The sequence below is a fragment of the Homo sapiens genome, chromosome 7 (assembly GCF_000001405.40).
Source record: "Homo sapiens chromosome 7, GRCh38.p14 Primary Assembly".
Lineage (NCBI taxonomy): Eukaryota > Metazoa > Chordata > Mammalia > Primates > Hominidae > Homo > Homo sapiens.
The window spans coordinates 116,557,864-116,571,304 of NC_000007.14; the positions used below are offsets into that span (position 1 = coordinate 116,557,864).

Genomic DNA, 13,441 nt, shown 5'->3' on the forward strand with positions numbered 1-13,441 from the left:
GGCTACACTCCCCTGCTCCCACATCTTCCATAGACCCCACTGTCTGTAAAATAATATTCAGTCTGGCCTCAACCTGTCTTTCCAGCCTCGGTGACACAGGTCTATTCTGCCTGAGACACTTACTATGACACCCTTGCTTGTTCCTGGGGCTTTGACACATTTCCAACGTCCCATTGTTCTTCCTCTCCAAATCAGCCAATTGCCCAAGCCCTGCTCAAATCTCCCACCTCATGAAGCCTTCTTGATGCCTCCCAGCACACCATGATCTAATTTCCTGAAGTAATTATGCTAATTGGGCATTTGAAGAATTGTTAACCGATTATCAACTAACTGCCCCTTAACATTGCATGTGTAGTTGTCTTCAAAGGCAGTTAAATTATGTCATGTTCCTTACATTGTACTGAGTGCCTCGTATCCTTATCCATGTTTGGGGGTTTTACTTTAAGTCAAGAAATTTAATCACATCCATTTGGTTTTCTCTAGAGCTGTAGTTCTCAACCTTTTGTGTGGTAGAGAAACACCTAGAGAACATGTTTAAAAATATCCTGGGTTCCACCCTTGAGAGATAATAAGGTCCAAGGGGAACCCAAATATCTGTGTTTCAGGTCAGCTTATTGGCTCATCCTATTATACCAACTCCTCAGAAGGCCAAGGTGGGTGGATTCCTTGATCTCAGGCGTTCAAGACCAGCCTGGGCAATATCGTGAGACTCCATCTCTTAAAAAAAAAAAAAAAAAGGATTAGCCAAGTGTGGTGGCATGAACCTGTGGTCCCAGCTACTTAAGAGGCTGAGGCAGACAGATTGCTTGAGCCTGGGAAGTCGAAGCTGCAGTGAGCCATGATCATGCCACTGCACTCCAGCCTGGGTGACAGAGCAAGACCCTGTCTCAAAAAAATAAAAATGAAAAAAATCTGTGTTCCCAAGTTCCAAGTGATGCTGATGCTGCTGGTTGCCTTTAAGCATCTCACAAAGAACGAACTCATAAATGCTAATACAGTATATGTCTATGGATACTGAATAGTGGGTTTTTTTTCTCTTTTCTTCTATTCTGTGCTCATGTTGTGTCACTTCTTCCTTTTAGATTGACTTTGAAGATGTGATTGCAGAACCAGAAGGGACACACAGTTTTGACGGCATTTGGAAGGCCAGCTTCACCACCTTCACTGTGACGAAATACTGGTTTTACCGCTTGCTGTCTGCCCTCTTTGGCATCCCGATGGCACTCATCTGGGGCATTTACTTCGCCATTCTCTCTTTCCTGCACATCTGGGCAGTTGTACCATGCATTAAGAGCTTCCTGATTGAGATTCAGTGCATCAGCCGTGTCTATTCCATCTACGTCCACACCGTCTGTGACCCACTCTTTGAAGCTGTTGGGAAAATATTCAGCAATGTCCGCATCAACTTGCAGAAAGAAATATAAATGACATTTCAAGGATAGAAGTATACCTGATTTTTTTTCCTTTTAATTTTCCTGGTGCCAATTTCAAGTTCCAAGTTGCTAATACAGCAACAATTTATGAATTGAATTATCTTGGTTGAAAATAAAAAGATCACTTTCTCAGTTTTCATAAGTATTATGTCTCTTCTGAGCTATTTCATCTATTTTTGGCAGTCTGAATTTTTAAAACCCATTTAAATTTTTTTCCTTACCTTTTTATTTGCATGTGGATCAACCATCGCTTTATTGGCTGAGATATGAACATATTGTTGAAAGGTAATTTGAGAGAAATATGAAGAACTGAGGAGGAAAAAAAAAAAAAAGAAAAGAACCAACAACCTCAACTGCCTACTCCAAAATGTTGGTCATTTTATGTTAAGGGAAGAATTCCAGGGTATGGCCATGGAGTGTACAAGTATGTGGGCAGATTTTCAGCAAACTCTTTTCCCACTGTTTAAGGAGTTAGTGGATTACTGCCATTCACTTCATAATCCAGTAGGATCCAGTGATCCTTACAAGTTAGAAAACATAATCTTCTGCCTTCTCATGATCCAACTAATGCCTTACTCTTCTTGAAATTTTAACCTATGATATTTTCTGTGCCTGAATATTTGTTATGTAGATAACAAGACCTCAGTGCCTTCCTGTTTTTCACATTTTCCTTTTCAAATAGGGTCTAACTCAGCAACTCGCTTTAGGTCAGCAGCCTCCCTGAAGACCAAAATTAGAATATCCATGACCTAGTTTTCCATGCGTGTTTCTGACTCTGAGCTACAGAGTCTGGTGAAGCTCACTTCTGGGCTTCATCTGGCAACATCTTTATCCGTAGTGGGTATGGTTGACACTAGCCCAATGAAATGAATTAAAGTGGACCAATAGGGCTGAGCTCTCTGTGGGCTGGCAGTCCTGGAAGCCAGCTTTCCCTGCCTCTCATCAACTGAATGAGGTCAGCATGTCTATTCAGCTTCGTTTATTTTCAAGAATAATCACGCTTTCCTGAATCCAAACTAATCCATCACCGGGGTGGTTTAGTGGCTCAACATTGTGTTCCCATTTCAGCTGATCAGTGGGCCTCCAAGGAGGGGCTGTAAAATGGAGGCCATTGTGTGAGCCTATCAGAGTTGCTGCAAACCTGACCCCTGCTCAGTAAAGCACTTGCAACCGTCTGTTATGCTGTGACACATGGCCCCTCCCCCTGCCAGGAGCTTTGGACCTAATCCAAGCATCCCTTTGCCCAGAAAGAAGATGGGGGAGGAGGCAGTAATAAAAAGATTGAAGTATTTTGCTGGAATAAGTTCAAATTCTTCTGAACTCAAACTGAGGAATTTCACCTGTAAACCTGAGTCGTACAGAAAGCTGCCTGGTATATCCAAAAGCTTTTTATTCCTCCTGCTCATATTGTGATTCTGCCTTTGGGGACTTTTCTTAAACCTTCAGTTATGATTTTTTTTTCATACACTTATTGGAACTCTGCTTGATTTTTGCCTCTTCCAGTCTTCCTGACACTTTAATTACCAACCTGTTACCTACTTTGACTTTTTGCATTTAAAACAGACACTGGCATGGATATAGTTTTACTTTTAAACTGTGTACATAACTGAAAATGTGCTATACTGCATACTTTTTAAATGTAAAGATATTTTTATCTTTATATGAAGAAAATCACTTAGGAAATGGCTTTGTGATTCAATCTGTAAACTGTGTATTCCAAGACATGTCTGTTCTACATAGATGCTTAGTCCCTCATGCAAATCAATTACTGGTCCAAAAGATTGCTGAAATTTTATATGCTTACTGATATATTTTACAATTTTTTATCATGCATGTCCTGTAAAGGTTACAAGCCTGCACAATAAAAATGTTTAACGGTTAAACAGTCAGCTTTATTATTTTTTCCCAAAACAGGTGTTTATGTGTCAGAGTCTGTGTATGTCTATGTATTTGTATGTAATGAGCATGTGCATAGTGTGTGTATGTGTTTGTATGTGTTTGTGGGGGGTAATGGTCTCCCACTTTAAAATTATTACAAAGTCACTTAGGATATTTCTGCTAAGGTCATCACCATTTATGAGTTGCTTCAGATAAAAGTTATAATTAATAACAAAGTTTTTTTAGCAATTTGCCCAATGTTTTATATGTCATCTAATTTGAGCCCCCAGCAAGCTTGTGTGATGGATATTAATACTCTTAACTTAGCGAAAGACACAATTTGCATTCGGGGCCAATGCCTTCAACTTTGCCATGCCTTAACTGGGTTTTAAAGAGGTATATTGCAGTCTCAATTTATGTTTGTTGCTTGGCTAAGTTTACCTTCAGGACTCCTATATTAGGGTTCTCCAGAGAAACAAAACCAATAGGAGATAGTTGGAGATAGATAGATAGATGATAGATGATAGATAGATAGATGATAGATAGATAGATAGATAGACAGATGATAGATAGATGATAGATAGATGATAGATACATAGATAGATAGAATAGAGATGATAAAGATAGAGAGATGAAGATAGAGATAGAGATGGACATGGAGATGGAGATAGAGAGATGAAAATATATATATAGAGAGAGAGATGGAGATAGAGATATATAGGGACAGATAGACACAGAGATAGAAATAGAGATAGAGATAGATGGAGATAGAGATAGAGATATATAGAGACAGATAGAAATAGAGATATATAGAGATGGAGCTACAGATAGAGATAGATGGAGATGATGAGAAAGAGGTAGATGGAGGGATAAAGATATAGATGGAGATGACAGGGGTAGAGATAGAGATAGATGGAGATGATAGAGATACAGAGCAAGAGCTTTATTACAAGGAACTGGCTTACACGATTATGGAGGCTGACAAGTTCCCAAATCTGCAGGGTGAGTCAGCAAGCTGGGAACCCAGGAGAGCTGATGATGTAGTTCCAGTCCAACATCAGCAGGCTCAAGAGCCAGGAAAAGCTGCTATTTTAGACCAAGTCCAAAGGCAGGAAAAAAATTCAATGTTCCAGTTTGAAGGCAGTCAAGCAGAAGGAATTCTCTCTTAGTTGGTGGTCAGGGTCAGGGTCAGCTTATTCTATGCAAGCCTTCAACTGATTAGATGAGGCCCACCCAGATTAGGGAGGGCAATCTGCCTTACTCCGTCTATCAGTTTAAATGTTAATCTTATCCAAAAGCACCCTCAAAGAAACGTTCAGAATAATATGTGACCAAACATATGGACACCCCATGACCCAGTCAAGTTGACACAAAAAGTCAATCATCACAGCTTCCAGTTCCATCTACAAAAATAACTATATGGCTTTGGACAACTTTTATTCCATATTGGTAATAAATAGCTTCATACATCACACATTTAGCCTGTAGTCCTAGCAGTTTGGAAGCCCAAGGCTGAGACTGGGGGATCAATTGAGGCCAGGAGTTCAGACCAGCCTTGACAACGTAGTGAGACCATCAGAAAAAAGAAAAGAAAGGAAAGGAAAGAAAGGAAAGGAAGAAAGAAAGAAAGAAAAAGAAAGAAAGAAAAGAAAGAAAGAAAGGAAGAAAGAAAGAGAGAAAGAAAGAAAGAAAAAGAAAGAAAAGAGAGAAAGAAAGAGGAAGGAAGAGAAAGAGGAAGGAAGGAAGAGGAAGGAAGAGAAAGAAAGAGGAAGGAAGGAAGGAAGGAAGGAAGGAAGGAAGGAAGGAAGGAAGGAAGGTAGGTCTCATACCTTCCCTGATGTGGGTGCTAATGGTCAAGCATTCTATGTTTTAATTTATAATCCATATTTTTAACATTGGGTGGAGGGGAGAAGTAAAGAGAGACACTCTTAACACAGAAGGCTGAAATCATAAAATAAAAAGGTCATGGCAATAAACACACAAAATATCAAACTTCTATATGTCAAAAACAGTAGAAACAAATACAAACAAATGATAAAGACTGATAACAGAAAGCATTTGAATGCATAGCATTATAATATACCTAAAAATAAACAGAGCTTTCATAAATTAAGAAAAAGATGAATAATAAGCCAAGATAGTTCACAAAAAGAAGTACACAACAATTATGCAAAAACTTATACTCATTAGTAAAGAAGTAGTAAGAGTTAAAGCAATGAGACATCATTTTCACTTAAGTCTGCAGAGACGGTAAACAAAAGTAATGTCCATGCTGGTGAAGATGCAGGCGAGTGGGCACACTCATTTATTGCATCTGTGAGGGTAACTGGTATAAACCATTTGGAAGACAATTAAATGTACACATGATATATCCCGCAATTCCTCTTACTAAATAAAAATAATAGAGGCAATACCAAGGTTCATCATCATAAATGTTCATCATTTTATTGTCAATAGCATAATATATTGGAAACAACATAAATATTAAAACAACCGAATTGGTTAAATAAATTATGGCATATGCATTTAACAGACTTCTATTAGCTTTTAAATATTGGATGGAATAGAATATTTAATGACATGGAAATATGTTCATAGCATGATGTTAACTTAAATAGTAAAATTTAAAAATCGTGTGTAGGATATACTGCTACTTTTTGTTTAAAAGTTGGGTGTGAGTGGATTTAAAGAATTGTGTCATTTCTGAGCTCCTGTCAGATACTTTACAGACATTATTGCAAATTTATACAAGATTTCAAAATAGATATTGATGGTCCCATTTTACAAATAAGGTTTAAAGGGTTTTAGAAAGTCACCCATTCACCATCATTAATAAGTTTTGGAGCTATTGTCTAATCCAGGGGTGTCTGTCCTCAAAGCTCTGTTCCTTACATTCATCTATCCTCCTGCTCTGTGCGGTTTCTGAGCCCTAAGCCTTTCTCCTCTTCATGAAGCTTCCTGTTCCCACTGGCTTGCAGAATTATTTCATCCACTCTGAAATGTATAATAAGCAAGTAATGTGAGCAGAACTGGAGTAAATATTAGCAGAAGTTAAGTAATAGTTAAAACTTGTATTCAACTTCGTATGTCAAGTGTATCCTTTATAAATGTATTAGTTTATGTAATATTTGCAATAACCCTATATGGTATGTATTATCATTATCATTCCAATTTTACAGAGTAAGAAATCGAGGCACAGAAGAGTCAAATAACTCGCTCAGAGTCACACAGCTAGTAACTAAGTCAGGATTATGAACCCATGGAGTCTGGCTCCAGAATCTAGGAGCTTAACTATGGCACCAAATCATATAGTTAGAGGGAATCCCGCAAAACAGAAAGCAAGTTGTGTCTCTACTGAGAACAAGTAATGGTCAACAATATGGGAGACAATTAAAATGCAAATTAAAACATTTTAAGTCTAAAATATAAAATTAAAACTGCTCCCAAAAATTTAACAAAATCTTTTATTTAAGCATTTACATATAAGTTTTTACGACATAAAAAATGTTTCATAATAGGATATATTCAGTCACATTTTAGTTTAGTGACTTTCAAGACCATAAAATGACTAAGTGATAAGTTGATGTACAGACTGCAAGACAGAGATTTTAATGATGGAAAGAAACACACTTTTTGAAATAAACTCTAATATTTATATTATTTGACAAATATTAAATAATCTCCATGGACTCAGATTAGGTTCTATCAAGTAACTGATAGAACCATTTTACCATTAAGATTCAAGATTTTTTTTCTTTAGGACTCTCCATTCATTTATTTGACTTTCATATTCATTCTCAGATCTGCCAGTTGCTTTAGTAATAATGAATCTCAAGACGTTGTGCATTACTCAACTTACCATCAATGCAAACTCTCTCCACTTCCCCAATGCACACCAATCCTACTAATACTTGCTCTCATCTTATTTTTCTCTTTCACTAAAATGGATGATTCCCTACTCTGAGCAAAAGCCATTCCCATCACATGCGCTCTGAATCTCATCCTTTCTTATTTTCACAAGATCTTTGCTCCATTTGTCATCTTGTTTAACTCTTTTACTATCTATCTCTCCCTTTGCTCTGAATTGCTCTCATTACCCTCCAAACATCGCGTATAACTTTATAATTTTAAAAAAACACATTCCCTCCCTTAACCTTGTAACCTCCTCCAACCATCAATATTTTTTCTCCTTTCTTTTACAGCCAAAATTAACAAAAGAATTATTTATATACATTGTCTAAACACTATTAAATTACCCTACCTATAATTATACTTTTAAGCCAAAGAGGTTTTGGGGTTTTTGGGTTTGTTTTTTTTTTTTCTGAGTCTTGATAAGTTGCCCCATCTGGTCTTGAACACAGGGGCTCAAGCAATCCACTCACCTCAGCCTCCTGAGAAGCTGAAGCTACAGGCACATACAACGGCGCCCAGCTGAACAGGTTTTTTAAACAATTTTTATTTCTGGTACCCAGACGTAAGCATAGGCATGCTCAATAGTTAATGTCATCATTGGTCCATGAGGGGCTCTCTTCTATTTGATTTTATTTATTTTATTATTTAATGATCATTAATTAACACCTATGAATTCATCATCAAATCAAAGAACTAGAACTAACAACTACACATTTGTTCCTTCTCTTTCCCATCCACCTGTACCCCTGCATCCATATGAGGTAACCATTCTCTTAAATTTTGTTATTTATTATCTTTTTGCCTATTAAAAAATTTTAAATACAATCTCCCAGGGGAAAAAAAAAACCTATTTAGTTTTAGTTCTTTTTAAAATATTTCTAAGGAGTACCATGCAGAATGGATCGTTCTGGTGTTTGATTTTTTTTTTTTTCACTTAAGATTCATTCATATTGTTGAATATAGCTCTAAGTCATTCATTTTCAGTGCTATATATTTGTCTGTTCCATGAACATATCCATTTTTATCCAGCTGCCTCTTGAGGGGGACATGGTATGCCAATGGTGCTGCTATAATCATACTTCTGCATGTCCACTGGGAGGGTTTGTGGGCATAAATTCCTCTAGGGATTATCATTAGGACTGAATTGTTCAGTCCCAAAAAATGATACACCCCCAGCTTTTCTAGATATGACCAATGGCTTTTCAAATTAATAATAGCAATTTACACTGCCACCAGCATTTTGAACTGTCAAACTTCTTCAATTTTGCTAATCAAGTGGGTGTGAAATAGTATCTTATTTTAGTCTTGATTTATACCTTTCTGATTACCAATGAGGTTAAGCGTCCCTTCACTGGTTTTTGGTCATATGAGCTTCTTCTGTGAAATGACATGTCATTCAGCAAGGGTTTTTTAAAAATGATTTTTTTTTTCACTGAGTCATAGGAATTCTTACCGATTCTTAATGTTTTCATTTTATTTTTACATATGTTTCAAATATTTTTCTCAATTTGTATCCTTATTTTCACTTTCATTATTAAAATGTCTATTAGTGAACACAAGTATTTTGACTTTAGTGTTCATATTTATCCATTTTTTATTTTTAGTACTTTTTATAATGTCAAAGAGATATTTTCCTGCCAAGATCAGTAAGATATTTATTGTATTTTAACTAGCATTACTGTGGTTTAAGAGTTTAAATATCTTAGGTTTTTCTAGCATAAAAATATTTTGCAATATGTTCAATCACATTAAATATTTGCTTTTAACATTTAAGTCCTTAATCCAGTTACATGGAGTTGATTTGTTTGTGTTGCATGATGTAGGAATCCAATTTCATTTTTTTCTGAATAAGACAACCATTTATGCTAGTTTCATTAATTGAAAATGTCCTCCTTTCTCCTTTAAACTATAATGCCACCTCTGTTATTTATTGAAGTTCCATTCATACTTGGATTGATTTCTGAACTCTCTATTCTAGCCCACTGGTCAGTTTGTTTTTCCTGTACTCATATAGCATTTTAAAGTGAGTCTCCAAATCTTGTAAGACAAGTTTTAATTTCCTGTTTTCTTTGCTCCTTACTTTCTAAGGGCCTTGGTTTTGTTTGTTTGTTTGTTTGTTTGTTTTTGCCATTTAATTTTCCAGAAAAACTTAAAATTGTCTCATCCATTTTTAATAAAAACTCACTTGGAATATCAATTGGAATTGAATTGAATCTTTAGATCAAGTTGGAAAATTGGCATGTGTATGATACCAAGGCTTCCTAGCTCTAAACATGGAAGTAAAATTTCATTTATTTCTTTATAAGCATTTTCAGTAAAGTTTCATAATGTTCTATGTAGAGTTTTTTCATGTTTTATGATTTATTTATTCTAAGTATGATAATTATTATGCCTAGTGACTATTTTAGTACATATTTGCTAATTGTTGACTGTCTTTAGACAAGCAATTGACTTAATATTGAGGCATAATTAACATTAAAGTGAAATACATATATCCTAACTACAGTTCAATGACTTTTGACAAATGTTACGTTTTTTAATTGCCAAATATATAAAATTTCTTAAATTAGTTTTCGTTTTAATTTCTAGCTCTATTTTTGGATAAAATATGATCTAAATATACTTGTTTTTGAAATGTATTAAGACATTTTATGGTCAGGTCCATGATAAATTTTTATAAATATTTAATGTATGCTTCAGAGGAATAAGCATCCTCTAATTTTTAGATGCAGAATTCAATATATGTCTATTATATCAGCCTTATGTTTTGTTGTTCAGATTTTCAATATTTTAATGACTTTTTTGTCTAGTCCGTTTCTTAAATGAGAAGACTAGACTATCGGTCCCTCCTAATGGATTTATAATTGTTTGCTTTATATACATTTCAAGCTACTCTATTCAGTGCATACCTGTTTAGAAATATTCTATCTTACAGATATGTTGGTTCTACATACCTTTTATGGTTAGGTAGTGAGTCTTCCTATCTTTAATTATTGTTTTGTCATAAAGTTTATTTTGCTAAAAACTTACACAGTCATACCTGCTTACTTAAGCACTTTCCTGGCTGGGCGCGGTGCTCACGCCTGTAATCCCAGCACTTTGGGAGGTCGAGGCAGGTGGATCACCTGAGGTCAGGAGTTCGAGACCAGCCTGGACAACATGGTAAAACCCTGTCTCTACTAAAACTAAAAAAATTAGCCAGACATGGTGGTGGGCACCTGTAATCCCAGCTACTGGGGAAGCTGAGGCAAGAGAATCGCTTGAACCCGGGAGGCAGAGGTTGCAGTGAGCCGAGATCACAAGACTCCATCTCAAAAAAATAAAATAAAATAAAATAAAAGATAAACATCTTCCTGATGTATTTAGGTCCAATCTTTTACTCTGAGGGCTGTCATGCACTAGCAATATCAGCAGTACACTACCCAGCTCTAGGTAATGCCATTTAGAGAGACTGTCATGTGAATGGTATCTCTTAGACTGTATGCCTATAAGGTTTCCATGTTCTTATGCTTTATGAGAGTCTTTTATAAACAGCACAGGGTTGGATTTTGTTTTTTATCCAATCTGATGGTCTATTCTTTAACTGGCACATTGGGTCTATTTATATTCATGGTGATTGTTGATACATTTTTCTTTTCTTCTATTTTCTTACATTTTATTGCAAGTATTCTATTTTTTGTTTCTTTTTAATACTTTCTTATTTAAAGTAATTAATATATATACAGTATATTATATATATATATATATATATGTTTGTGTATATACACCCTCTAACTAGACAAGATTTTTAGTATATGTTCATTACTTTTGGTCTTCCCCCCACCAGGGTTGCCAATCATATTGACACCATATAGAGCTTTAATTCTGTGGTATTTTGGATATAGTTCTTTTTTTTCTTGATATTTTTTCTTCTCTTTCTCTTTTGGAGCACTTATGTTAAAATATCTTTTCAATGGTAGTCCTTTTTATGGTAAAAAGGACTTGTATGCCTGAGAATATTTTTATTGTCATCACATGTTTGAAATACAAATTTATTAATTGTAAAATTCTACCTTCAAATTTATTTTCTTAAGTATTTTTTAAAAATTACTCCATTGCCTCTGGAATTCTGCATTTATTGAAAACTCCGATGTCATTTGTGTCATTTATCATTTTCTCTTTGCCTATGATATTCTTAAATCTCAATATAATGGACCTGTGTGTGAATTTTTAAAATATATATTTACTTAATATTTTTAATATATATTTCCCATGAAGTGGTTCTCTAAAGACCATTTCAATCTGTAGCTGTTCTTTCTTTTGAAAATGTTCTTCACATTTCTTTAAATATTTTCCTCTTTTAATTTTTATAATTTTTCCTTCAGGGACTCTAAGTATCTAAAACCTGGTACTTCTATTATCTCTGGCTATGAACTTTTACATTTTCTATCATTCTAGAAGCATTCTTCCATCTGGTCTTTCAACTCCATCATTCTTTAGCTGTAGCTATGTCACTATTTATCCCACCTATTAGGTTCCTTCAAGTCTACATTTTTATCCTGATATTTTACATGGCTTTTTTTTGTGGGGGGAATTTCTTGTCTTGGTTCATGTTGCTAATACATTTCTTTTTCTCAATTAGGATGTTTATTTAAGAAGATATAAATTATTGGTCCTTTTGTTCTAATATATCTGCTCCCAGGGGTGTTCGTCATCCAGTTTGTTATTCTGCTTTTGAGATCGTTTACTCCTCAGATGTCCTCTACCCAACCCATAAATGAAGAAATAGCCCAAGGCTCCATCCTAAGCCCTCTTCTTGTCTCTCTGTGCATGTTCTCTCCAGATTCTCTCATCTTCCGTGGCTGTCTCATAGATAAAAACTGTATTACTCATGCTTCCTCCACCCTGCCAAATATTCTACATCATTTTTAATTGTTCAATCATCCACATAGCTACCCAAGCTTAAAACCTATGAGTCCCCAGAGACTTTTCTTTTCCTCAAGACCTATAGCCAATTCATTACCAGATTCTATCAGTTCCTTCTTCAAAATATATCTTGCTTTTGCACCCCTGCCTCGATTCCACTGCCACAACCTCAGTATGAGCAGCCATAATTTAAATCCTGGTCTACTTTAGGCAGTCTACCTGTTTCCACCCTTAACCCCACCCAACTCATTTGGCCACTTTGCTCTACAGCAACACATATTTTCACAGAGGTACACACACATACACACACACAGAACTTAAAATCCTCTAGTATTTTCTCACTGCATTCAGTAAAATGCATTCATAAAATCACATCTCTTTACCAAGGCCTACAAAGTTATCTGATTCAGCTCCTGCCTATCTCTCCAATCTAATTGCATACCACAACCTCCTCATGATCTGTGCTCTAGACACACTGATGTTCCTTCAGTCCCAAGAACATGCTATGGTCCCTCTCAAAGTCAGAGGACTTTGCACAGCTGCTCCTTCTGACCAAGATGATCTTACACCATTCTCTCTACTTTGCTACCTCCTTCTCATTCTTTAGGTCTCAGCCTCAATGTCAACCCTCAGAGAGGTCTCCCATGTCTTCCCTAAGTGAAGCAAGTCCTTTTATCTTAATCTCTATCTTAGCTTCTTGCCTACTTCCTTCACAGTACATACCATATTGAGTAATTAACTGTTCACAGTGTTTAGTTTTTCACCACTTTTAGGATTTAAACTCCATGAGGCAGAGATTTTACCATGAGAGCAATTAATATTTGTTGGATGAATGGTCAGACCATCCTGGAGACTATGAATGCATGAGGTGCCAAATTTCTGCAGTGCCACTAATAATGCCATGAAGAAAATCACCCAACCCACTCTGAAATAAATTACAGCATTATTAACAACATGCTTGCCATTTATTTTTCTTTTTAGACTTTATTTCTCCATGATTTTGTTCTCCAACAAAACATCCTCTAAGGTACCCATTTGAACTTTTTTTAATGTCAAAACATGAGTCTCTCTAATGAAAATTTTAGCAAGGACTACCATGGATGTTTGATATACATATTTTTCTTACTTGAATAATAGCAACCACATGTTGATACAGCTATTAAGGAAAAAGAAGTTTTTCCAGCAGCTGTTGACTTCATCAATTCCTCTCTGCAATGAGTCACTCAAACTTCCACAGAGCTAGAAAAGAAAAAAAAAAAAAGAAAGTTGCAAGTAAGGAAGTAGGGATTTTTTTATTGTGATGAGAGAGGAGT

The 13,441-nt window shown here is 35.6% G+C and overlaps 1 protein-coding gene and 1 long non-coding RNA gene across 7 annotated transcripts in view; one reads left to right on the plus strand and one right to left on the minus strand.

Moving 5' to 3' along the window:
* The window catches only part of CAV1 (caveolin 1), a 36,177-nt gene extending 32,855 nt beyond the window's left edge, over positions 1-3,322 (plus strand). For 3 of the 4 annotated variants that reach the window (NM_001753.5, NM_001172896.2, NM_001172897.2), the window contains one exon: positions 1,083-3,316. In NM_001753.5, coding sequence (NP_001744.2) covers positions 1,083-1,424 — 342 coding nt within the window. In that variant the 3' untranslated portion in view covers positions 1,425-3,316. Of the gene's footprint in view, positions 1-1,082 lie in introns of all 4 variants that reach the window. The other variant, NM_001172895.1, reaches the window with a different exon arrangement.
* Positions 5,731-13,441, minus strand: part of COMETT (cytosolic oncogenic antisense to MET transcript) — a 124,434-nt gene continuing 116,723 nt past the window's right edge. For all 3 annotated transcript variants that reach the window (NR_165032.1, NR_165033.1, NR_120506.2), the window contains 2 exons: positions 13,255-13,367; positions 5,731-6,305 (listed from right to left, as the gene is read on the minus strand). This is a non-coding gene — a long non-coding RNA (cytosolic oncogenic antisense to MET transcript). The remainder of the gene's footprint in view (positions 6,306-13,254; positions 13,368-13,441) is intronic.